The sequence below is a fragment of the Homo sapiens genome, chromosome 15 (assembly GCF_000001405.40).
Source record: "Homo sapiens chromosome 15, GRCh38.p14 Primary Assembly".
In the NCBI taxonomy this organism is placed as follows: Eukaryota; Metazoa; Chordata; class Mammalia; order Primates; family Hominidae; genus Homo; species Homo sapiens.
Window position 1 is genome coordinate 84,566,648 of NC_000015.10, and position 24,121 is coordinate 84,590,768.

Consider the following 24,121-nt stretch of genomic DNA (forward strand, 5'->3'; position numbering starts at 1 on the left):
GTGAGCCAAGATCATGCCATTGCCCTCCAGCCTGGGTGACAAGGTGAGACTTTGTCTCAAAAAAAAAAAAGTTTCCATACAATATAATTTGTTCCATCTCTAGAAACCAATGCAGCAATAACTGAAAGCCACCACTTGGAAGGTTTCAAGGATTTAGCTCTACCTGTTGATGTCCAAAGCATTAGTTAAGGTAGAAAAAAAATACACACACACACACACACACACACACACACACACTCTCTCTCTCTCTCTCTCTCTCTCTCTCACCCCTATGTAGTCAGTACCAGGAAACATGAAAGACTAGATGGTACAGTCATCCAACACAAAGCACACAATAACTGAAGGCACTGTAGAGGAGTAACTTATGACACAAATCTACAATATTGTTGAGTGAACATGCAGATTACAAAAAAAAATCTGATTTTTTAAGGGAGAGGGAACACATACAAGCAAAGGAGAAAAGAGATGAGCAGATGACTGAAAGATACAAAATTCTGATAGTGGTACATTCTGAGTGGTAGAATTATTGGTATTACTTTCTAGTTTTGCCTAAAAATTTTCTAAATTTCTTAAAATAAGAACTTTTTGTTACCCATATTATAAAATATCCATCACCCCAGGAAACTTAACCTTGAGCACAAACTCTACAACATGTTCAATGTTTGTTCAGTTTAATATTTAAGAGACAACCTATTTTGAAAGAAATCTAAAATGATGACCAATATTTAAACCTATGCATTAATATTTTTCAATCATATCCTTTACATTTTGTAATTTTGATAAGGTTAAGCTTTAGATCCATCTTGAAAAGATAAGTTTTCTATTTGTCTTTAAAATACGACCCACAATATGCCTGTTTTTAAACAGTGAATGATGCTCAAAAATCACAATATAAATTCAGGCAGTGTTCCCTACATGGAATGTTTAAGTACTTCTAACACTGCTCTTTTTCACCGGTTATGAAAACACAGAACAATTATCTAAGCATCTAATTATTCAGGTCCTTTGTTTCTCCTCCATTCTATTAGTTTTATAGTAATTTTAGGGCCTGTGAGGATGAAGTTCTCTGTGACAGCTACCACAAAGCTTACTATAAGCAGACAAATTTCAAACAAGTTTATCACCACTACCAACCCCACCATAAAACTGTCTCAATCAAGGGCAACACAATTCAAGGTTAGCCAAGACAACCTCTTTACCTGTCACTGCTTAAGAAAAGGATTTTTTGGTCTTAATTAGAAACAATATTCTGTATCTATTTTTCTCCATAAATCCACTGAGACCAATGTGTGGCTCTATCTCAAGCACCAGCAAGCAAAACTGCCTGCCGGTATGTTAGGTTTTTGTATCTTTCCAAATGTAGGGCACAGCTATCTTTTGATATAATTTTTTGAAAACTGATGCACATATTTTTCTTGCAAGTTCAGCCAGGCACGGTAGCTCATGCCTGTAATCCCAGCACTTTGGGAGGCCAAGGCAGGCAGATTATGAGGTCAGGAGTTCAAGACCAACCTGGCCAACATGGTGAAACCCGACTCTACTAAAATTACAAAAATTAGACAGGTGCAGTGGCAGATGCCTGTAATCCCAGCTACTAAGGAGGCTGAGGCAGGAGAATCGATTGAACGTGGGCGGCAGAGTTTCCAGTAAGCCGAGATTGTGCCACTGCACTCCAGCCTGGGTGATAGAGTGAGACTCCTTCTCAAAATTAAAAAAAGAAAAAAAGAATTTCAGATATACAGCAGTTGTAATTTTTCTGAAGGCTGGTTATGGGACACGTTACTTTCATACTTTGCTGTTCAATAAATGTGGGGTGGAGAATAAAGTAAATTGACAGAATTACCATATAAAATAAAATTCTAAGTCCTCTGACAACAAAAGAAACTTATAACACACACACACACACACACACACACACACACACACACACACACACAGAGTTTTCCCTGCTAATCATTTTACATCTAAACAACCAAGTAGCTAACCCAGAGCCCACAAAAGCAGAGTAAAAATTCTAACACTTGGTAAAATAAAAATGCACATATATCCCTGTCATCTAAAAAAAAATGCTTACGTATTCAAAGACAGCAATTACAGCTACTGAGAACATCATTGTTAGCAAACTGAGGCAGAGAAAACAAAGGTGCTGATGAGGATTTGAACCACCTAAGCTGCAGAAACCCACTGGATGGTTTCCTAGGTTCCAAGTTGGCATTATCTTTCAGAACGATCTTCTAGAAGAGATCACATAACACTGTTACAAAGGATCTGGAGAAAGGGACCCTGGCTTCATCACTCTGGCTCTCCAGTCATGCTTTACATTTTCACTTCTTACACTCTCTTTCATAGGAAGTCAATTTACAGGCCTCCATCAAGCCCTTAGAGACCTTTTTGTACTATCCATGACAAGTTCTTGATGTTATGTCTGCACTTCTGACAAATTCTTAGCAGTTAACTTACAAGGCAGTTAAGGTTTTTGTTCAAGCACAATATAGCTAGAATAGGGTCATACATTCAATAAAACAAATATTTACCAAGCATTTATTGAGTAGAAGATAAAAAGCACAAAGCATAATTATAAACTATTCTCCCCTGCCATCATAAAAAAAAAATTAAAAAGCCTTACAGAATACAGCATAACATGACCAAAGCAAAAATAGTGAGGACTAAAGAGGGGAGGAAGGGGAAATATCAGCATGAACTGAATATGACCCAGAAGAGCCTTGATGGTCAGACATGTAAAGACAAATTGGGTAGGGTTAGGGGGTGGCTGTCAGGGGCACATTCTACAGGGGAAAAATAGATGATACAGAAGCCTGAAAGGAAAGCGGGCAGAGCACCTGGACAGGACTCTTACCTGCTGCATCCAGGGTACAATGTGCCTTTCCAGAACACAGCAGCGACCCGGGATAGAGGGATCGCTCAAACAGCACCAGAGGCTGCATTCCAACTTTTCCTCCATCAACAAGCCCGTTTTCATTGTTAGTTTCTCCTTAAACACGATTGGCTGAACATGCGGGAACAAGGAAAACCTGACTGAAGAACGAGGCATTTAAGCTTAAGGGCCTTGGATCTGGGCGCGGTGGCTCAGGCCTGTAATCCCAGAACTCTGGGAGGCAGAGATGGGTCATTTGAGGTCAGGAGTTCGAGACCAGCCTGGCCAACATGGTGAAACCCTGTCTCTACTAAACAACACAAAAGTTAGCCAGGCGTGGTGTCAGGAGCCTGTAATCCTAGCTACTCGGGAGGCTGAGGCAGGAGAATCGCTTGAACCCATGGACTGTCAAGAGACGGAGGCTGCAGTAAGCCGAGATCACCCCACTGCACTCCAGCCTGGGCGACAGAGTGAGACTCCATCTCAACAAGTGCCTGCCACCATGCCCGGCTAATTTTTGTATTTTTAGTAGAGACAGGGTTTTACCATGTTGGCCGGGCTAGTCTAGAACTCCTGACCTCAGGCGATCCAGCTGCGTCAGCCTCCCAAAGTACTGGGATTACAGGAACGAGCACTGCGCCCGGCCAAAACCCCGAAAATCTTGAAGGCCTTTCCCCTTCCCCGCCCGGGCTCAAACAACAGCCGGAGACGCCCTGCCACGCCCCGTCGCGGTCCCGGGGAGCAGGCTGGCTGACTGAGGGCGACCATGGGCCCCGAAAGGGCTGCGGGCGACGCGGGCTCCCACCTCGGGGCGCGGTGACTGGGGCGAGAGGTGCCGGCAGCCCCCAAGCCAGCCCCGCAGCAAGGAGCCAGAGAGACGCGCCCTCCCCCTCCTCCCACCCAAGCCTCCCGCAGTCCCGGCGATCGGGGCCAGGCCAGTCGCGGGAGAAAGGTGCGCGCTCACCCGGCCCGGGGAACCGGGGCCTCTCCTGGGCAGGTTCCCCTTTGTCCCGGGACTCCGGGCTCTTCCTCTCCGCCCTCGCCCTGCCGTGTGAAGCCGCCGCTGGGCGCCTCACCGTGATGTTGCAGTGGAGCCTGAGCTGCCGCGGCGGCTCCTGGTTCTTGTGGAAAATAGAGGACAACAACTTCAGCTTGGCCTTGAACCCTGACACGGACATTTTACTCTCACCTCTGGCGGGAGGGGCGCGGAAGGTGAGCCGGTCGGGAGCCGCTGTCATGGCCGCGACCACCCGCGGGACCTCTCGGCGGCGCTCTCGCGGCTCCGCCTCTCCCCGCTGCCTCAACTCTAGTCGGAGTAGGGCTGGAAAATGGCAAGGGGCACCGAGGCCTCTGCGGGGAGCTGTGTGGCGGCCTGGGCGGCTGCTCCCCTTGTAACAGACTCCACCGACAGGAGGCGCTCCTCCTGTCAAGCCACAGCTTAAAAGGACAACAGCACCACCGCCCCCGCTACCGCCTGGGAAAGGGCTGCCCCTACCCCGCTCCCGTCCCTCTCGTCCCTCACCCCTCACCCCTCACCTCTCACCCCCGCGCGCCCGGTGCGCACCCGTTTCGGCGGGTGCACGAGTCCAGAGCATGTGCGCGCTTCCGGCTGCCCCCTCCTGGCTTTGACCCAGCACTGCTGGACCCATCTAGTCCGTTCCTCACACTCGCGGACTGGAAGCTCCAGGCTGCACAACCACCAACTGGTGTGTGTGTATTTAGGGGCGGGGGGAGGTACAAAACCACCAACTCGTGTGTGTGTGTGTGTGTGTGTGTGTGTGTGTGTGTGTGTGTCTCCCAAGGGAACAGCACTGCTGAGTTCAGGCTATCAGCTCATGGACTGTCAGCAAAATACAGTCACAAGAAGGCTATGTGCTGTTTTGTCTTTTGCAGTGATGTCATGTTGCTCATGTTTTATGTTTTTCAGAGTTCATTAGTTTCTTTTTGTTCTCAGTAATATCCAGCTCAATAGATTGTGTAAGTAGAATACCCCCAAACTGAAAGTCACCTACATAAAATATAGTGAAAAATATGTCACCCACTTAAACTATAGTTGAAAATATGTACTCATTAGTTTTGTGTAGCCAACACTGGATAATGGGTAAGGAAGGGCACAGGATCCCAGGGCTAGACTGCCTGGGTTCAAGTTCCGATTTAGCTGCTTGCTGGCTGTGAAATGCTTGACAGCTTTAAGCCTCAGTTTCTTTTTTTTTTTTTAACTTAATCCCAAATGTGATAGTAAGTCTCAGTTTCTTGATCTGAAAAACAGAAATTATTCAATGAGAGTCCATGTGAAAACTTTAAAGTTTTAAAGCCACTTTCTGGCTCAGGAAAGTCCTCAGCTTTAGCTGTTAAAGTTTTAAAAGCCACTTTAAAGTTTTAAAGCCACTGCCTGGCTCAGGAAAGCCCTCAGCTTTAGCCATTATTAGCTATGATTATTATTGTGCTGGCTACACATGCATTAATGAGGCAGGAAAATGCTCAAGGATAACAACCAAGTATCCAAATTATCTCATCAGACCGAAACAGATGCATATGTTTGCATGCTCATGTTTTAGCTCAGAGCCATTTGTCTAAAAGACTCTTGAACTCAGGGGTCCAGGCAGTATCAACTTTACTTTGCAGTGAAGCCATCACGTTTGTTAATCAATGAAAACGACATAATGCTCTTTTTTTTTTTTTTTTTTTTTAGCACCAACCATGTGCCTAAAGCTAACTGTGTCAAAAAGAGCATGCTTCGAGGGGCTGGAGTGAGCAATTCAACTTGTGGAGAAATAAGAAATAATAGTGTTGAGACAAGAAACATAAAACCGCAGGGTAAGGTAGGAATCACTGAAGGTCAGGCAAAGGAACTGGCATCCAGTAATGAGTCAGGCTTTGACGGCCTCTGGCCCTACAGATGGCTCTTTGGAGAGGAAAAAATTAAGCCAGGCCTGAGGCCACAGATCCTAAGGGACTGCTGGCAGCTCTAGGCTGTCTATGGAAGAGAAGCAGAGGGTGGCACCTGGTTGAAAGAGGGAGCTGGGGGGCATGGCTTGAGCCCGCATTTACAGATAGAGTCCCCTGATTCCTGCAACTGGGGAAGAAGAGCATGCCTGGATCAGGGGACCTCAAATCAGAACTCTTCCCACCCACACCCCTTCTTTTCAGGGCATCTTTCACTGCAAACAACAGATAAACTAGTTAGAAAGCTCAGCAGATTCTCAGGATGGTGCCTAGCGGGCAGGGCCTAGCTACCCTTTGACAGTGACTGAGGGTGATGCCACAGGCCCGTAAGCACACATTGGAAAATCTTTACATCCATGGACACGCCATGCCCCACAGAGACAGCTGTGCAGGGTTCTTTAGGTTTGGGGTGCTCTGCTGGCAGTTGCCTTATAAATATATAGGATTAAAATGGGATGCCCTGGAGCTTAGCTAACCTTTACACCCCACTCTAAAAGGAACGGACTGCTAGTTTTGTCTGCTTTATAAAAGATGGATCTGTCATTGTTTTTAGAACTTTTGGAGAAAGATTTCTTGGGAGGAAGCTATCCTGAACGCTTAGAGACTTTTCTCATTTACTGGCACACCAGCTTTAGAGTCCTAGGTCTTCATCCTGGCTCAGCCACCCTCCAGCTGTGTGAACTTTGAGAAGTTGCTTGACTACACTGAGTCTCGTTGTCACTATGAGTGGAGGTTGCTACGTTGCTACTGTGTGGAGCACCTACCCCCAAGCACTCTTATAAGGTGATGGTGAAGATTAAATGAAATAATACGGCTCAAGGGGGAGGATCACTTGAAGCCAGGAGTTTGAGACTAGCCTGGGCAACAAAGCCAGACCTCATTTCTATGAAAATGTTTTTTGTTTTCTTTTGTTTTGCTTTTTGAGATGGAGTCTCGCTCTGTTGCCCAGGCTGGAGTGCAGTGGCATGATCTCAGCTCACTGCAAGCTCTGCCTCCTGGGTTCATGCCATTCTCCTGCGTCAGCCTCTGGAGTAGCTGGGACTACAGGCGCCCGCCACCACACCCAGCTAATTTTTTGCATTTTTAGTAGAAACGGGGTTTCACCATGTTAGCCAGGATGGTCTCGATATCCTCACCTTGTGATCCACCTGCCTCGGCCTCCCAAAGTGCTGGGATTACAGGCATGAGCCACCTGCCCGGCCCGAAAATGTTTTTTAAAAAATTAGCTGGACTTGATGGTTTATGCCTGTATTCCCAGCTACTCGGGAGGCTGAGGTGAGATCATTTGAGCCCAGGAGTTTGAGGCTGCAGTGAGCCATGATCACGCCACTGCACTCCAGCTCAGGCAACAGAGAGAGACCCTATCTCAAATCAATGAATAAGTAAGTAAATAAATAAATAAATGAAATAATGCACACAATTACTACACTAGTACATGATCAGGCACATGATAAATGCTCAATAAATGGTAGCCCCAATAAGCTTTGTAATGTTTTGGGAAAGGGTGTCCTTTGGACTCAGCCCAGTGACAGAAGCATTTGAAAAGACTGATTTGTATGATGGCTATTTCCTCCAGGTACAAACCTGTACCTCCAGGGACCCAGGGCATTGGCTCAGTGGGGCACCTTGTTCTATTTTCTCTTGTTTTGGGCAGCACTGATTGCCCTAGGGCTAATCAGGACTGCCACCCCAGACTCCATTGCCAAGAGTATCCCCCTCCCCAAGCTAGCCATGGGAAAGCCACTTGCATCCTAAGACTACTGGAAATTAAAGGGAATAAAAAGCACAATTTAGTCGCTCACTCTCCAGCTGATGGGAAATAGGTTTTTGCTATTTTGAACAGAGCTGTTAGGAACATTCCTTGTCCACATCCCCTGTTTTATATTGTTTTATATAGGCAAGAATTTCTTTTGGATGTAGAGTAGAATTGCTGAGCTGGGAGGAGTATGAATATTCAGCCTTATGAGATGGAGCCAAATTGTTTTCCAAAGTGGTTATACCAGTGTATACTCCCAGCAGCAGTTCTTAAGAGATCTCAGGATCTCTATCTTCTGGTGATGTCACAACATACAAAAAGAATGAATGCCAGCTATAAACAACAATAAGGATGAATCTTAGCAATATAATATTAAGTGAAAAAAAACAAGTTCCAGAAGGATGCATACAGCATCCTCTATATAGCTTGGAAAAGAAAATGTGGGCATGGTGGCTCATGCCTGTAATCCCAGCACTTTGGGAGGCCAAGGCAGGAGGATTGCTTTAGGCCAGGAATTCAAGACCAGCCTAGGCAACATAGCAAAACTCTGTCTCTACAAAAACTAGAAAAATTAACTGGGTGTGGTGGTGCAGGCTTGTAGTCCCAGCTACTCATGAGGCTGAGGTGGGAGGATCTCTTGAGTCTAGGTGATCAAGGTTACAGTGAGCCATTACTGCACCACTGCACTCAGAGACAGTAAGTAACTTGTCTAAGGTGGCCTCATTAGAAGTTAGCTGCGGCCAGGCGCAGTGGCTCACACCTGTAATCCCAGCACTTTGGAAGGCTGAGGCGGGCGGATCATGAGGTCAGGAGATCGAGACCATCCTGGCTAACACAGTGAAACCCCATCTCTACTGAAAATACAAAAAAAAATTAGCCGGGCATGGTGGCAGGCGCCTGTAGTCCCAGCTACTTGGGAGGCTGAGGCAGGAGAATGGCGTGAACCCGGGAGGCAGAGCTTGCAATGAGCCAAGATCGGGCCACTGCACTCCAGCCTGGGCAACACAGTGAGACTCCATCTCAAAAAAAAAAAAGAAGAAGTTAGCTGTGGTGGCTGGGTGCAGTGGCTCATGCCTATAATCCCAAAACTCAGGGAGGCCAAGGCAGGAGGATCACCTAAGATCAGGAATGTGAGACCAGCCAGGCCAACATGGTGAAACCCTGTCTTTACTAAAAATACAAACATTAGCCAGGTGTGGTGGTGGATACCTGTAATCCCAGCTACTCTGGAGGCTGAGGCAAGAGAATAGCTTGAACCCAAGAGGCAGACATTGCAGTGAGCTGAGACTGCACCACTGCACTCCAGCCTGGATGACAGAGCAAGACTCCATCTCAAAAAAAAAAAAAAAAAAAGATTCAAAAGCGTTAGAAACCAAATAAATGTAATGAAAACAATCAGATTTTCTGCTTAAAGACCAGCGAAGAGGACAAATGGGAGGGGGAAACTGGAGCTCTGCCCCTGTTGGTGGGAGTATAAACTGAACCAATTTTTCTGCAGGATAATTTGAAAATTTATATTAAAAACCCTAAAACTGTTGTACGTTATTTTCCTCCAGAAATTCTACTTCTATGAATTAAATCCAAAAATGCTTGCTCTAATCCACTAAAAATATACATATAAGAAAATTTATTTCTGGGGTGGCAATGATTAAGTTAATATACATCGAGCTATTAAAAATGATGATGCTAAGGATAGATTTACTGCCATAGAAATATGCCTAAAACATAGTGACAAAAGACTATATAATGATTCTACTTTTTAAAATGTGTATATGCATAAAAAAGTATAAAAAGCAACAAGGCAGAATGTTTTGAGTGGCAAAATTAAAGACTTTTCTTCATATTTTGTCTTCCAAATTATTAGAAAAAGAATATGATTTTCTTTATAATCAGGGAGAAGTATTATTTTCATTTATTTCTATTTAAATTTATTTTCTTTTCCTTATTTTTTCTCATCTATGTATCACATATAGTCTAGAAAGCTTGAATCCCTGCCTCTTGAGATAAATCAGCCCATTTCTTTCTCTATAAATTTGCCTTTTTTGGACATTTCAAATCAATGGAATTATACAATATGTGGTCTCGTGTCTGGCTTTTTTACTTAGCTAATGTTTTTGAGGTTGGTCCATGACATATTGTAGCAGGATGAGCTGCAGACAAAACTCCTCAGACACCAGGTTAAAAAAGGAAGGAGCTTTATTCAGCTGGGAGCTTCTGCAGACTTGCATCTCAAAAGCCAAGCTCCCCAAGTAAGCAATGACTGTCCCTTTTAAGGGCTTACAACTCTAAGGGGGTCTGTGTGAGAGGGTCGTGATCAATTGAGGAAGCAGGGGGTATGTGACTGGGGGCTGCATGCACCAGTAATTGGAATGGAACAGAACAGGACAGGGATTTTCACAATGCTTTTCCATACAATGTCTGGAATCTATAGATAACACAAGCAGTTAGGTCAGGGGTTGATTTTTAACTACCAGGCCCCCAATTTTTTTTTTTGAGATGGAGTCTCACTCTGTTGCCCAGGCTGGAATGCAGTGGTGGGATCTCAGCTCACTGCAAGCTCCGCCTTCCAGGTTCATGCCATTCTTTTGCCTCAGCCTTCTGAGTAGCTGGGACTACAGGTGCCTGCCACCACGCCCAGCTAATTTTTTGTATTTTTAGTAGAGTCGGGGTTTCACCGTGTTAGCCAAGGTAGTCTTGATCTCCTGACCTTGTGATCTGCCCACCTCAGCCTCCCGAAGTGCTGGGATTACAGGCATGAGCTACCACACCCGGCTGATATTGAAATTAACGTTTTGCTTTCTTCTTGCATCTATTTTTCACTTCTCTGACATTTTGATGGATAAAGTTTCATTTGGAAGGATTTTTATTTCAAAATAGAAATAGCATATAACATGAGAATGGGAACTCTGAAAGGTTCAACTTTCTAGTCATTAGTTTCCTAAGATTGTCATGAAAGCCACATATAGTCAATCATGATTGGCCTGTATTAAAAGTGAGATAACATCATGTACAACTTAAGCACTGTACTTTCTATCAGATATAGAAAAATAGGTGGTGTGTTTGGAAAAGTATTGGGCTAGGAGTCAGGAAGCTTGACTGTTAGTCCCAACCCTCCTTCTTCAGCTGAGCACCCCTAGGCAATAATTCAGCAGCTATTTCTTAAATACCTAATGAGTTTCAGGCTTTGTAGTTGGGCTGGGAATAAAGATATAGATATTGCTTTCATGATTCTCCAAGGCTCCCCTCCTCACCCCAACTCACAGTGAGCTTTCTTATGCATTGTGTAAATTTGTCTCCTAACAGGTCCCAACTCTCTCTCCAACCTGCTTCCCAGGGAAGTTGTGAGGATCAAATGAGAGAGAATATGTATGAAAGCAAATTCTAAATGATTTTAAAATGCAATAAAATATGACCTATGGAAAATTATTTAAAGATCCTTAGAATTTTAAATAAACAGTACATTAACCTGAGTTCTCTATGGTTTTTATTTTAAATAGATATGAAAGTTTTACAATGAACCACTGATATGGTTGAAAAACTTAGCTTGATTATTCTCCAAGAAAATGATACAGTGGTTTGTCTGGTGAATTTTCTAAAATTGCCAGCCAAATAAAACCAAAACCTCTTTTGAGTTGAGTGACTGGATCAGTCAAAGGAACATTGACTGTGTAATGGAGAAATGTTTTCTGTGTTCACTGACAGCTTGCCGTTGTTTGATTCCAGCTGCAGCATATCATGAGTGATGAGATCTGTGTACAGGTGACTGACCTTTACCTGGCAGAAAATAATAATGGGGCCACCGGAGGCCAGCCGAACACACAGAACTCAAGAAGCCTCCTGGAGTCAACGTATCCACAGAAAGCCAAGCAGCTAATGTCAGATGAGAAATGCTTTAAGGTGAGAGTTGCTCATGTAGTCAAAGACCTTGCTGGTGACAATGTAAGTTGTTAGGATTCTCTGAATCGGAAGTTATAGCCAGGGTACTTTGACCCCGTGATTCTACTCCTGGAACTTTTTAGAGTTCCTAATGAGTTCACCAGAGAAATACAAAGTGGAAGTAACCATCTTCCTGGACAATCTATTTTGTTTCTTTCTTGCCTTAAAAAAAAAAAACTAGTTATATATGATTTTTACAATTTTGTATTCTTCTTTTTCCCTGAACATTTTTCATAATATGCTTTGTATCTCTTATTGTTAAAAAAAAAAGTTGGTACATGAAACCCATGGTCGTGGTCATTATAGAAAAAAAAGTAGGCCTGGCACACTTGGCTCACACTTGTAATCCCAGCACTCTGGCAGGCCGAGATGGGTAGATCGCTTGAGACCAGCTTGGGCAATGCAGCAAAACCCCATCTTTGCAAAAAATACAAGAATACAAAAATTAGCCAGGTGTGGTGGCATGCGCCTCTAGTCCCAGCTACTCAGGAGACAGAGGTGGGAGAATTGCTTAAGCCTGGGAGGTCAAGGTTGCAGTGAGCCCTGATCATATCACTATGTTCCAGCCTGGGTGACAGAGTAAGACCCTATCTCAAAAAAACAAAACAAAACAAAAAATGCAGATAACCAAAAAAAGTCACCTTAGAATTCTTTCCTGAAATTACCATTGATGACATTTCTAGACTTTCCTGTGCTTGAGTATATATTTTGAAAGAGTTTATACTGGACAAATGGTCTTTCACTTTATTTATTTATTTATTTATTTAGAGACAGGGTCAGGCTCTGTTGCACAGGCTGGAGTGCAGTGGTATGATCCTGGCTCACTGCAACCGTGCCTCCTGGGTTCAAGTGATCATCGTGCCTCAGCCACCCTAGTAGTTGGAATTACATGGGCCACCACACTGGCTAATTTTTGTATTTTTAGCAGAGATGTGTGTCAGATCCCAGGGTCCAGGTCCAGCCCATGGTGAAGTCTGAGGGGAGTGGGTGGGTGAGCAGAAAGAACAATCGGGGGGCCATAGGCAGGTGAAAGATAGTTTTATTCAGCGGCAGCTCTCATTAACAGCTTTCTTACACTAGCTCTCTTATTAGCAGCTTACTCTTCCACTGTTCGCCTGTCTCAGCAGCTTGAGCCAGCTGCCCCTACACATAGCTGCGCAGCCAGCTCTCTCTTGCCTTCAGGGTCAGCAGCTTAACTCCTTCTCTCTCTGGGCATGAGCAAGCCCAGCTGTGTCCTGGCTCCCTCCCATCTGCCTGCAAGATGGACAGCTTTGGCTCTCTCTTTCTCTGGGTGCCAGTGTGCTCATCATGTCAAGCCATGTTAAGCCAAACTGAGCCAAGCCCCGAAGAGCCATGTCTCTTATGCACGGCATCAACAGGGCAGTTATACCTTTTACAGACAATAGTGGCATAAAGCCAGGAATGAACTTACACAAACAGGTTATATTACAAGTGGAGCTGTGTGCTTGCACGCCAAACTCGTGAGTCACACAGGCCTAGATATCCACCTCGGCCTATTCCTTGACCAAAGCACATCTATGTACCTTACTATGTGGTTTTGTATGTTGGCCAGGCTGGTCTCAAACTCCTGAACTCAAGTGATCTGCCCGCTTCAGCCCCCAAGTGCTGGGATTACAGGTGTGAGCCACTGCATCTGACCGGAAAGGATGTATTTTTGCTCAATTAGCAACACTTCTGGGTCTTTAATGTCTTTTCTATGGCTATTTGATATTCACTTTATAGAGAATTAATGCCTGTATTGTTGGACATTTAAGTTGTTTCCAAGTTTTCACCATTATAACTGTATTTGTGTGTATATATTATATTCTTGCCAGGCTGTAAGCTTTACTAGCAGAGAGGAAATTTTAAAGCTTTAAAAGAACGCTGAGCTAGATCTAGCTTCTGGCTCTGTGTGTTTATTGACCAGTGGTGTGCCTTGAGAAACCAGAACTCTCTGAATTTCAGTTTTGTCTCTGTGTAAATGAAGAAGGTTGTAATAAAAAAAATCTCAAGTTTCCTTCCAGGCTCTGATCTTCTCCATGTGATTCTGATAGTTACCTCCTCTGCAGAAAGCCATTAGGGTAACGGCACTGAGAATCTCAGGGTTCTGAAAGGGGAGATCCATGTGCCATCACCATTGATAGTTGTTTTTTGCAAAACATGTTTTGCTTGCCTCTATTGGTGTGTTGCTTTTAAGTACGGATTTTTTATTTTTATCACCAGGCAGCCCCTGCAACATTTTTGGCAAAAAAATCATTCTCCCATAGCAGATTGTGCTTGTGACTTTGGGCCATGATGAGGCCATAGTCTGGTGTCAATGTGGGGCAGCAATAATGACACACCTCATCCTGCTGTAAGGCCTTGTTGGAGGCTCTTTGCCTAGTCTCCAGGCAAGGGGCAGCTGCCCTTCTCTTAGCAAGGAAAGAGGGCTACTTCTTTTAGCCCAGAGCATTCCGTGGAAACTGGAGGCTCAAAGTTCTCAGATGTATCCACTTAAGTTTCCCCATACCAGCTATCAGGATCCTATTCCTCTCGTCTTGTCTCCTCCCCTCCCCTCACTTCCCCTCCCTTCCCCTCCCCTCCCCTTTATTTTCTTTTCTCTTTTTCTTTTTCTCTCTTCCTTTCTCTCTTTCTTTCTTTTTGTGATGGGATCTCATTCTGTCGCCCAGGCTGCAGTGCAGTGACGTGATCTCAGTTCACTGCAATCTGTGCCTCCTGGGCTCAGGCGATCCTCCCACCTCAGTCTCCTGGGTAGCTGGGACACAGGCAGACGCTACAACATCTGGCTAATTTTTGTATTTTTTATAGAGATGGGGTTTCACCATGTTGCCCAGGCTGGTCTCAAACTCCCGGGCTCAAGTGATCCTCCTGCCTCAGCCTCCCAAAGTGCTGGGATTACAGGTATGAGCCACTGCACTTAGCTCTCCTTTTCCTTAAGTAATTCTAAATAAAAACAAGACTAAATCATAAAATAAAATGTGTGTTTTTGGGGAAATGACACAAAACTTCCATGACACCTGACATTAAAATAGTTTATTTCTCGATTTCCTGCTGTGTGCATGTGTGTGTGTGCACCCTTGTCATTGGTTGACGCCCTATGTGTGTACTTGCTATAGCTACTGGGTCAATCTGCACAATGTCTGACTCCACAGTTTCCAGCAAACAAAAACTCTATATGGCCTAATTTTCAAGCAGTTGAGATTGAAGCAGCAGTCTCCTTCTGAATTTAATTTGAATTAAACTGCCAGGCCGTACTTGTGTGGGAAACTGACAATTTTCAGCAAGAAATTTCCAGGTGAGGCCTGTCACCCTCCAGTGTAACTCTAGGGCCTGCATGGCAGGGAGACTGGCTTTGGCTGGAGGCTGGGTCAAAAGGCCTCTCCTGGAATGGCACATTCCCATCCCAGGGAGGGAGCTCTGTTGGGAGCAAGAGATGGACCAAGAAGACCCATCCATTAGGAAAGTGGCCCTTGGTCTGTGCAATTTTAATAGAGTGGGGAGCTTGGTGCAATAACCACTTCTGATGGGGAAACTAGTTGGAGACATGGGCATTCATTGTCTTTCCCATGTGTGCCCCACTGGGGCCCAAACTTGAGGGGTGAAAAGTTCCAGGAGACAGATCAAGAGTGGTGTACATGTCACAACTGCCCAGGCTGGGCTCCTCCCACCACCCATCGGTCCTGCCCTCTGGAACCCCGGGCAGGCGGGCAGGAACGCTTTTTGTGGTCTGGGCTTCTGGCCAGGATGTCTATGGCTTCCTAACACCCATGTGGGGCAGCCTAGTGTAAAGATCCTGAAAGTAGGAGAACAGCAATTGATCAAGTGAACCCAAGATATGACTAAAACTCTCTGATGGCAAAGCCTTTGATGCTGAAGAGTCTGGCCCATAGAAAGATGGCCTTGAGCATGGCACCTCTGACCAAATCCCTTACTCTGACCTACTGAGCATATGGACCCAGCCCTGCTCACAGTCAGGGCTGAAGGAAGACCTCATGGAGTTTATGTGATAACTGCACTTCCCGTGTGCCTGTTACAGCTGATTCCACCCACACTGTCCTCTGCCCTGGCCAGCCCAGCCCTGCCATGCCCTGCCATTGCAGTCAGGGCTCTTTGGGTGTGAGTGACAGAAAATTCACTCGAGTTGGCTTAGGCAAGAAGGGAAGTTCATTGCTCAGTAAGTTAGCCACGGGCAGGGCAGGGAACAGCTGGGCCTCAGGAATACCTGGACTCAGAGTCACCAGCACTGTCAAGATTTGCAGGCTCCTTCCCTTGTCTCTGTCTCCACCTCAGTCCGCAGATCAGTTTTGTGCTCTCAGAGCAACTTTCTTCACAAGGTTGGAATCAGGCTGTTGGCAGCATGAGGCTTCCATCTTCCTGGCTTTGCCCCTAAGAAAGGATGGGGCTCCTCTCCATTAGTTCCTATTCAGAAAATTCCAGAAGAAAGTTACTGCTTGGTCTGGTCTGGATTGGCTGGGTAGCTGGGACACTAGAACTGCCAAGCCCTCTAGTGTCATGTGGTTGAAGTAGGGCGGGGAGATGTATTAGTCAGTTCAGGGTGCCATGCCACAATACCACAGACTGGGTGGCTTAAGCCACAAACATTTATTTCTCACAGTTCTAGAGGCTGGGAAATCCAAGACCAAAGTGCCAGCAAGGTAGGTTTCATTCTGTGGCCTCTCCTCTTGACCTGTAGGTGGCTGCCATATTGTATGCTTACATGACCTCTTCTTTGTATTTGTGAGGAGAGAGAGAGTGAGTGAACTCTCTGGTGTCTCATCTTATAAGGACACTAATCCTACTGAATCAGGGCCCCACCCTTAGGACCTCATTTAACCTTAATGACTTCCTGAGATGCCTCATCTCCAAATGCAGCCACAGAGAGGGTTAGGGCTGGATTTGGAAGAGACAGAGACATTCAGTCCATGATGGAAAGAAAAACTATTCATGAAAAAACGGGTGCAGTAGCCAGAAAAGGGGAGACAAAACTACAGATGGTCTCCCCATTTCCCCCAATACACAATACACACACACACACACCCCTGCCTTTGCCCCTTCCCCACAAGGCCACTCCCCACCCCGTGATTATTTACCTCCCTCCTGTCCTGCTCTCTGGAGCTGCCCCTTCCCCTAAGTTGTCCTGTGGCTCACTGAATGCTGCATGCAGGTAGGTGCATGTAAATGCAGCCCGGAACTGGGGGCCTCCTGGACCATGTGTGTCCTGAGCCCCACCATGGGACTGGGCAGGAAGTGGGTCTTACCCATGTCTCCTGTCCTCAGGCAGAGCCTAGCCCTGGGACATGAGCTCAGTGGGTGCTGCAGCTTTGTTGGATTCACCTCAGGCGCCCTTTCCCCATCCACTTATAAGGTACCCAGGGCCTTGATACCTCTGTCCTTGGAAGAAAAGAATGAGATTACCCAGCTCACATGAACCTGCTGGTGGCTTTCCACAATAGAAGGATATAATTTTCCAGTTCAAAGAGTCTACCGAGTGACTAGCATAGTGAATGAAGAAAGACCTACAACAAGGCACATCATTGGGAAATTCCAGAAAAGCAAGGATAGAGAGAAAATCCTAAAATCTTATAGAGAGAAAAGAGGTCATATATAAAGAGCCAAGACTCAGCATGACACTGACTTCTTCCCAACAACACTGGGAACTAGAAAATAATAGAGCAATATTTCCCAATGTGAGGAGAAGTTATGTTTAAATTAGAGCATTATTTCCAGCCAAACTATTAATCAGGAGTTGGAGTAGAACAATGACATTTTAAAATATGTGGGGTCGGAAACTTGGCTTCCATTCACTCTGTCTCAGGAAGCCACTGGAAGATGTGCTGCAACACGGTGAGAGGATAAACCAAGGAAAAAGAAGATCTGGGGCCAGGGAACAGGAGATGCACACAGAAGAGGCAGCAGGAAATTCACACGATGGTGCAGAGACATGCCAGGATGCCAGCTGTGCCATGGGCTGAGAGCCGAGTCCAGTTTGGAGCAGAAGGATGGAGTTCAAGGGAGAGAGAGAAGCCTCCAGGAAAATAATGGGGCTGATAGAGTATCCAGTGTATCTTAGTTTTTGGATAATTATCACTAGGCATTTGATAGATTGGTTGAAGCATCTGAAAAAATTGGTAGGTAATTGGTAAAAAATAAAAATAAAAATAAAGAAAAACATAAACAAATGAAGGGAAAAAGTCTACAGCAATTATTAACTCTGGGGGAATAAAGGAAAGAAATGAAACAATTTCAGTGTGGAACTTGGGTTAGGGAACAATATTTACATAGCTATAAGAATGTAAATGCTTTTGATTTCATAAAATTGTGATCCAGTCAAATTGGTGTAATGGAGGCAAGGAAAGTAAGACCTCATAAGGAAGGTAAGCCCTATACTGTGCTATGCCAGGAATTGACAGATACTGAAGAAAACAAATCAAGAAATAGCAACATAAACATTCTTTAGAAATACAATGATAGTCCGGGCATTTTGGCTCACACCTGTAATCCCAGCATTTTGGGAGGCCAAGGTGGGCGGATCACCTGAGGTCGGGAGTTCAAGGCCAGCCTGACCATGGAAAAAACCCATCTCTACTAAAAATACAAAATTAGCCAGGTGTAGTGGTGCATGCCTGTAATCCCAGCTACTCAGGAGACTGAGGCAGGAGAATCGCTTGAACCTGGGAGGTGGAGGTTGTGGTGAGTGGAAATCACACCATTGCACTCCAGCCTGGGCAACAAGAGCAAATCTCCATCTCAAAAAAAAAAAAAAAAAAAAAAAAAAAGATAAATACCAGAGGAAGTAGCAAAATCAGCTTAAAGAGATGGCCTCTGGGAATTAGAACTCAAAGGCAAGAAAGGAAAGGGAAGAGTAAATGGTTTTTGATATAAGCCTTTTATTATCATTTTGTTCTTTTTTCTTCTTTTCTTGTTTTACTGAGGATTTCTTGATCCAGATACCATTTTGTTCTTAACTCTGTGTATCTAGTACTTTGATCAGAATTAAATATAATGTTATTAGTTCTGGAGACCTGTTGTACAGCATGATGACTATAGTTAATAATAACGTATGCTTGAAAATTGCTAAGAAAGTAGATTTTTCGCTTTTATTATTATTTTTTTCTTTTTTTTTTTGAGACGGAGTCTCGCTCTGTCACCCAGGCTGGCGTGCAGTGGTACAATTTCGGCTCACTGCAACCTCCGCCTCCCGGGTTCAAGCAAGTCTCTGCCTCAGCCTCCCAAGTAGCTGGGATTACAGGCATCTGCCAGCAGGCCTGGCCAATTTTTGTATTTTTAGTAGAGACGGGTTTTCACCATTTTGGCCAGGCTGGTCCTGAATTCCTGACCTCATGATCCACCTGCCTCAGCCTCCCAAAGTGCTGGCATTATAGGTGTGAGCCACCACGCCCGGCTATTTTTATTTTATTTACTATTTTTTTTGACACGGAGTCTCACTTTTTCACACAGGCTAGAGTGCAGTGGCACGATCTCAGCTCACTGCAACCTCTGCCTCCTGGGTTCAAGTGATTCTCCTGCCTCAGCCTCCTGAGTAGCTGGGACTACAGGCCCATGCCACCACACCTGGCTAATTTTTGGTATTTTTAGTAGAGACGGGGTTTCACCATGTTAGCTGGGATGGTCTCCATCTCCTGACCTTGTGATCCACCCGCCTCAGCCTCCCAAAGTGCTGAGATTACAGGAATGAGCCGCTGTGCCCAGCCTGCTTTTATTATTTTTAATCAACACATAGTTGTATATATTTATGGGGTATAATATTTTATACATGTATACAATGTGTAATGATCAAATCGTAATTAGCATCTCCACCACCTCAAACATTTATCATTTCTTTGTTCTGGTAGCATTCAAAATCCACTCTTCTAGCTATTCAAAACTATATAATAAATTGTCATTAATTACAGTCACCCTATAGTGCTAAAGACACTAGAACTATTCTTCCTATCTAGCTGTACTCTTTGTTTTTGTTTTTGTTTTTGTTTGTCCCCCAGACAGGGTCTCATTCTGTCCCTAAGGCTGGAATGCAGTGATGCAGTCACAACTCACTGTAGCCTTAACCTCTTGGACCCAAGTGATCCTTCCACCGCAGCTGCCCAAGTAGCTGGGACCACAGGCGTGCACCACCATGCCTGGCTAATTTTTAAATTTTTTGTAGAGAGTGGATCTCCCTATGTTGCCCAGCCTGGTCTCAAACTCCTGGCTCAAGTGAGCCTCCCAAAGTGCTAGGATTACAGGCGTGAGCCACTGCACTCAGCCATGTACTCATGTATCTGTTAACCTGTTAGCCAACCCTTGGTTACCCCCTCCCCCTTACTCTTCCTCACCTCTAGTAAACACTATTCTAAGCAAAGAGATCTTAAATGTTCTTACCACAAAAATAATAATAAAAGTATGTGAGGTGATTAAAATGTTAATTAACTTGATTTAATCATTTCACAATGTATGCATATATCAAAACATCACACTGAACGCTGTAAATGTACACAATTTTTATTTGCCAAATATACTTTAATAAAGATGGGGGAAGAATTGAATATGATGTTAAAACAAAAACAATAGCAAAACCTAAAGAAAATTAATAAGCTAGTTCAGACCAGCCTTTTACAGATGAGGTCACTGAAGTGCAGAGAGCTGAACTGACTTGTCTGATCTTACACAGCAAGTCACCGGCAGAACTTGGCCTGAAATCCAAAGCCAAGCATTTTCTAATACCTCCAGCTCCTTCAGTCCAGCCCTCCCGGGGCTCTGCTTGGGGAATTGGTATTGGTGACAAAGGGAATAGAGAGAAACATGCATGGCGTTCTCCATTTAGATTAACATAATCACACTGTGCCAGGGCGTCAGCCGGAAACAGTGCAAACTCCAAGAGTGCTCCCCCGACCCTTTTCCCCTCCCCATCCTCTCTCATAATCAACTTCAGCAAAAAGGACTGAGAAGAAAAGGGAATCTTAGATGACTCTCACTAGGGTATAAATGGCTCCCACCATGATTTTTATTTTATTGAGACATAAATCTAAAAACAGTTTGACGGATAGGATGCCAGGCAGTAGAATGAAGACAGATGGGGAAACTGCCTAGGGTCATGAAGAATGTGGAGGCACTGAGGTCCTGAGTAATTTCATAAACAACACCTTAGGAAATGTCCAGCACCATGGTTTTTTACCTTCACTCAGGACCCACAAGGCCCCACGTTCTGACAGATTTTGTTTATCAGACAAATTGCACTCAGTCATGCTTCATTCATGTTCCCTGGAGAGTTCCCAGGTTACATAGAATTGAGATAATCTCCCCCCTCCCCGTCACCCCCACGAAGACACTCCATCTTTCTGTTTGCAATACAATCTTATACGGATCAATATTAGATTTTCATGGCGCTCTTTGCATTTTGCAACTATTGCTCAAGCTGGAGACCCAAAAAGAGCACTAGCTTTAGAGTCAAAGACCCCTGGGTTCCAGTTTCAGCTGAGAGACTGTGAGCACATCACTAGCCCACTCTAATCCTGTATCCCAGTTGTATAATCACCTATTTCCCATCAATTGCAAGGCTGGAGAGAAAAGTGCCCACTCTGTGACCAGTACACAGTAGGAGCTTAGTACGCTTATCTTGCTTCCCCACTATCCTAGTGTGTTAGGGGAAAGACAGAGATGTGGGGAATGGCACCTGGGAGGCTCCAGCTGTATGCTTCATAATACTACCGAAGAAAAATCTGAATTAGGCTTCAGTTTCCCATCTAAAAAATGAGACAGGACAGGAGTGGGTAGGAAGAGGAGGAGCTGGGCTTTGTTGGTTTAAGCTGGGCCCGTCTGATTCTGTAACGTGGACTTCACTGTCGGATCCAGCCCACTCCCCAGCCGGAGCTTCGCGTGCTCTGAATGTCTTTTGGGCAAGTCCAAGGCTGTCCAGGGTCGGGGTGGGGAGGCGGGGTGGTGGGTAGCGGGGTGGGGAGAAGCAGTTCCCACACATAACCTGTAGGTGGCACCAGAGCAGCGCAAGAGCCAAGGGTTCCGCTCCAGCGTTCCTGGAGACCCGGGCAGGGCGGGGTAGGGCTAGGCAGAGGTGGTGCACACCGCTCAGCTGGGCAGCGCCACCAGCGCGGCTGCGGATGGATCCACACCGTTTGAAATAGACACATAGGTCTTCTGGCTAATTTCCTCTCTTTAATAGGGTGATCATATGCTTTATCATCCAAATCCAGACACTTCGGAGAGTGAAAGGGGACACTAATAATTGCACCGGGACAGCAGACATAACCTTAGCTGTACCTTGCAAACCAGAACGAACATATGGTTGCCCTACCCTCTGGTCACTTTTTCTTCCTTGTTTCCATTCTTTTTATTTTTATTTTTTTCTTCTTAAACACACAGCATTCTTTTTCCCCGAGCGCCATTGTCTTTTAAAATGCCCTTGCAATCAGGATATTTCCGACCATGCAACATCGGCTTCCGCATCTTGAGTCTGAACAGTCTCTCTGAACCCACTCCAAAGGCTGGTTTTAACTTCCAGTCAGAAGACTCTGTTCCTGGCTTACTATCCCCATGACTCAGGAATTAAAGATGTCAGACGTGGAACAGTGGGCCTTATCTCAACTTTGGTGCCTCTTTGCTAAATTTGTTCCTGAATTTTTTTTTTTTTTTTTTTTCTGAGATGGAGTCTCACTCTTTCGCCCAGGATCCAGTGCAGTGGCGCGATCTCAGCTCACTGTAACCTCCGCCTCCCGGGTTCAAGTGATTCTCCTCCCTCAGCCTCCCAAGTAGCTGGTACTATAGGCGCCCACCCCCATGCCCAGCTACTTTTTGTATTTTTAGTAGAGACGGGGTTTCACCACCTTGGCCAGGCTTGTCAGAAACTCCTGACCTCCGGTGGTCCGCCCGCCTCAGCCTCCCAAATTGCTGGGATTACAGGCGTGAGCCACCGCGCTTGGCCCTGTTCCTGTAATTTTGTTCTGAGTGCTCATGTCCTTTGTCTCTTTGAATTTACGTATATTGATTTATTGAATTGCAAGTAGACAAGCCCCATTAAGCAGGATTTTTATATTTCCAAGATCATCCCATTACGCCATTCAACCCCAAATTAGCATGCCATTTATCCCCTTGTTTCTGAACCCTCTTCACTTAGTAGTCTCGGAAACATCCATTGCAAAACGGACTCAAACTTTGCTCACTTCCATTTTTATTTATCCAAGTAATGATTTGTCTGGGGGAGTCATTAGTAGAGAATTGTGCCCTTAAATGTATTTTTATAGTTGGATGCTGCTAGTTAATCTCTCTGTCATTCTCACATTGCAACCAACGACTGTGGGTTTCTGTCTTAACCTAAAATCTAGGTTAGAAATTTGGTTTTATCTGAATAGGATATTAATAGATAATGTGAAAAAAAATTTAATTTACTGAAACTTTTCTCAGCTAAGAATGACACTCATGGTCACAAATATGTATGCAAGCAAGCAGAAAATTGGGCTGTAAATATATAAACTCTTTTTTTGAAATGGAGCCTCACTGTGTCACCCAGGCTGGAGTGCAGTGGTGCGACCTCGGCTCACTGCAACCTCCGCCTCCCAGGTTCAAGCAATTCTCCTGCCTCAGCCTCCTGAGTAGCTGGGATTACAGGCATCCGCCACCACATCCGGAAAATTTTTTTGTATTTTTAGTAGAGATGGGGTTTCACCATGTTGGCCAGGCTGGTTTTAAACTCCTGACCTCAAGTTATCTGCCCGCCTCGGCCTCCCAGAGTGCTAGGATTACAGGCATGAGCCACCATGCCTGGCCTAAACTCTTAAAATATTATGTTTAGAGGCAAGATTTTCCTTTTTTTCTTCTTTTTTAGTAAAGTATATTTGCTATGGTTGGAATGATTGTGTCTCCTCCAAAATTCATGCTGGAATTTAAGACCCAATGTGATAGTATTAAGAGGTGGAGTGTTTAGGAGATGACTAAGTAGTGAGGGAGAAGCCCCCTCATGAATGGGATTAGTGACCTTATGAAAGGGCTTGAGGGAGCTACCCAGCTCAGTTTTGGTCTTTTGCTTTTCTGTCCTTTCCACCATGTTAGACACAGCCTTCCTCATCCCTGGAGGACTCAGCATTCAACGTGCCTTCTTCGAAGCAGAGAGCAGCCCTCACTAGACTACAAACCTGCTGGTACCTTGATCTTGGACTTCCCAGCCACCAGAACTGTGAGAAATACATTTTTGTTTTTATACATTACCCAGTTTCAGCTATTTTGTTACAGCAGCACAAATGGACTAAGACAGTATCTTACATACAGTGAGGTGCATATACCTTAAGTTACAACTCCATACTATTTACATATGTGCACACTCACGTGACCATCATTCAGTTCAAGATACAGAATGCTTGCATCACCACAGAGGACTCCCTCTTGCCCCTTCTCAGTTGCTATTCTTCTCAAAGTTAACCACGATACTGACCTCTGTCACCATGGAATAGTTTTGCCTGTTCTTGAACATCATATAAATGGAATCATACAGTATGTGCACATTTGTGGCTGGCTTCTTTCATTCAACATCATCCTATGAGATTTAGCCATGTTCTGGGTACTGGTAGTTGTTTATTTTTCTGCTTGTGTGGTTTCCCATATTT

The 24,121-nt window shown here is 44.8% G+C and overlaps 1 long non-coding RNA gene and 1 pseudogene across 3 annotated transcripts in view, besides 2 other annotated features; one reads left to right on the forward strand and one right to left on the reverse strand.

Annotated features, from left to right (window-relative positions):
- The window catches only part of UBE2Q2P1 (UBE2Q2 pseudogene 1), a 43,600-nt pseudogene extending 39,452 nt beyond the window's left edge, over positions 1-4,148 (reverse strand). Inside the window, exon 1 of the transcript NR_003661.2 lies at positions 2,858-4,148. The product of NR_003661.2 is annotated as a UBE2Q2 pseudogene 1 (transcript). The remainder of the gene's footprint in view (positions 1-2,857) is intronic.
- LINC00933 (long intergenic non-protein coding RNA 933) lies at positions 4,002-13,534 on the forward strand. 2 transcript variants are annotated; one of them, NR_038274.1, is made up of 4 exons: positions 4,002-4,087; positions 5,568-5,697; positions 6,375-6,604; positions 11,301-13,534. It is a non-coding gene; the product is annotated as a long intergenic non-protein coding RNA 933 (long non-coding RNA). The 2 variants fall into 2 exon arrangements; NR_038273.1 differs by lacking the exon at positions 4,002-4,087 and adding an exon at positions 4,487-4,581.
- Positions 21,375-21,444: a silencer, noted in NCBI's record as "silent region_6766". NCBI's record gives its function as "represses an Ori minimal core promoter by ATAC-STARR-seq in GM12878 lymphoblastoid cells {active_cell/tissue: GM12878}" and the evidence as "EXISTENCE:reporter gene assay evidence [ECO:0000049][PMID:35858748]".
- Positions 21,475-21,524: a silencer, noted in NCBI's record as "silent region_6767". NCBI's record gives its function as "represses an Ori minimal core promoter by ATAC-STARR-seq in GM12878 lymphoblastoid cells {active_cell/tissue: GM12878}" and the evidence as "EXISTENCE:reporter gene assay evidence [ECO:0000049][PMID:35858748]".